Below are 2,304 nucleotides of genomic sequence, written 5' to 3'. Positions count from 1 at the left end.
TCGGAAAAAGTTTTACAATTTAAACACATTGGAACTCCCCAGTGTAAAACACTCTAAGCTAAATTATGGGAAAAGTCAATGTTGTATCAGCACCAAACAATCACCCTGCATAAGAATGAAAAGAAGGAAATGTTGTTCTGAATAGCTTGCCAAGGCTAAAGAAAAGTAGAACAGTTGTCGCAGACGAAGTGGTTGTGAGTAATAGCCCAAAAGGATGTATTCTAATTTGTGTTTGCCACTTAAATTATGAAATAGGTCATTATCTTCAAACTTAAGGTAAATAGCACTGGATTAGAGAAAAATAGAGACAGGAAGAGAGGGAAAAAGGAAAAAGGGCATAACAGGTAATTGTGATAAATGCATATTAATTTTTAGGCTTTTCTCAGTCAATAGATCTTATAATCCATTGTGGGTACACAAATGCTATGTTTTTTCTTTCCAATATTTGATGTGAGATAAAAATTAGATTAAGTGTAAAAACTAGATCTGGGCACCCCTATAGTAAGAATATTGAATTGTATCTCTTATGTAGCATTCCGTAACCCACTTTAATATTTGCTTTAACAACTTGACTACTCTCATATTTGTCATCAATTGGGTACCCAGTGCAAGAATTTTTAAGCAAAATTACTTGATAGTTTAGTATAAAAGCAGTGGTCTCCAACCTTTCTAAGCATAATATTTTTAAGCTTATTATTTTGGAAAATAAAAAAAAAAATCCTAAGTTAGAGACTGTTTAACAAACCTCCATGTATCCATCACCCAGCTTTAACAATTATCATCTCATGACCCACCTTATTTTATCTGTGCTTTACTTACTCATCCCACTTCAGATTATTCTGAAGCAAATCTAAGATATGAGATGATTTATTTTTGTTCTTAATAGAAAATATTTGAGGGCCCTTCCATATCACATTACGATGGTTGCATTTTTAATACCACTCAGTTAAAACTCCACATGAACATGAGGATTATTGCTCCCTCCTCCTTTCTTTACTACAACTCTGTGCCGCCTTCCCCATCTCAAAGGTATGTAGCCCATGAGTGGGGAATCCCTGGCACAATGAAAGTAGCTGCTAGCATCACTCACATTTGTGCTTGTTTAATAGCACATAAACATAAACTCACAACACAAACACTGCTTCTACTGCTTTATTTCTCAGGAATATATTTGTCATTACAGGTTTACAAGCAGAGTAGAAAATATAGCATTAGAATTCTCAACAGAACTTTTTCTCTTTATCCACCAGACTGATGTTTCTCTGCTAAAAATAAGTAACACAGGCTACTACTTTCTAAAAGTTGTTGCTCTCCAACATGTGTTTAGACAGCTTTATGACGTTGACATTTTTACCTGTGGAAAAAAAATCCAACTCCTGTGAGCTAGAAATCTTTGCACAATACAGCTTGAGAGCTGGCCTGCTTGTTGGCAGTCTCCCCGAGGAGCTAAGGAACAAATGAGCAAAGACTGTGTTCACACACTTGGAAATGACACAGGCCTGAGAAAGCTCCTTGTCTCACTACACCATGTGCACTTCCTTTAGATGAAAAACGAATATTCAGTGTTATTAAACCAGGACTTCAGTTACATATAGAATTCACTTTTGTATGAGAAAAGCAACAAAAAAAAGACCTGTTTTTTTTCCATATGAAACAGATAGTTTCTTTTGTTTTCTTGGTAAGGGGCACTAAACAAAATTCTTTCTTGATTTCTGCTCAGTGCACACATACAGCACTGATTAATGCTAATGGGATTCAGACATTTTAAAAAGCGTGCACTCAATCTCAGGATTATAAATATCATCCAGAAAGTTTGTGATTGGAATTTATTGGCATGCATCTAATCTAGATCAATTTTAAGCCCTTAAACTTTTATGTTTAAATGAACAGAATTATCTCCATTAAATCATATTCAGTACTGCTTGTGGCTATATAAAGAGAAAAATTATAGTAGTGCTATGTTTGTACTTTATTAGAGAAAAAGCAATCTTCTCTAAATGAAATTATTCTTTTTCTAGTTTCATGGAATATCTTATTTTTTAATTTTAAATTTCCGAAACAAGATGTCATCATTTGAAGATTCCAGTTTGGGCTTTATTTTTCTAAACATGTCCATTATGGGGCTGAGTAAACAGAATACATAAGATAATGAAATCTTTCTTACATAATACAATGTTTTTCTAAACCACATTTCAAACATGAAATTAGACAATCTAGTTTTCCACCAGGGAAATTATTATCTGCTTTATATGTACCGTATTAATTAGATTAGGCCCAAATCCTAGTAGTTTGCATAATTATATT

The sequence above is a fragment of the Homo sapiens genome, chromosome 1, assembly GCF_000001405.40.
Source record: "Homo sapiens chromosome 1, GRCh38.p14 Primary Assembly".
NCBI classification, from domain to species: domain Eukaryota; kingdom Metazoa; phylum Chordata; class Mammalia; order Primates; family Hominidae; genus Homo; species Homo sapiens.
The sequence above is the reverse complement of the archived record's forward strand: the minus strand, read 5'-3'. Positions refer to the sequence as shown.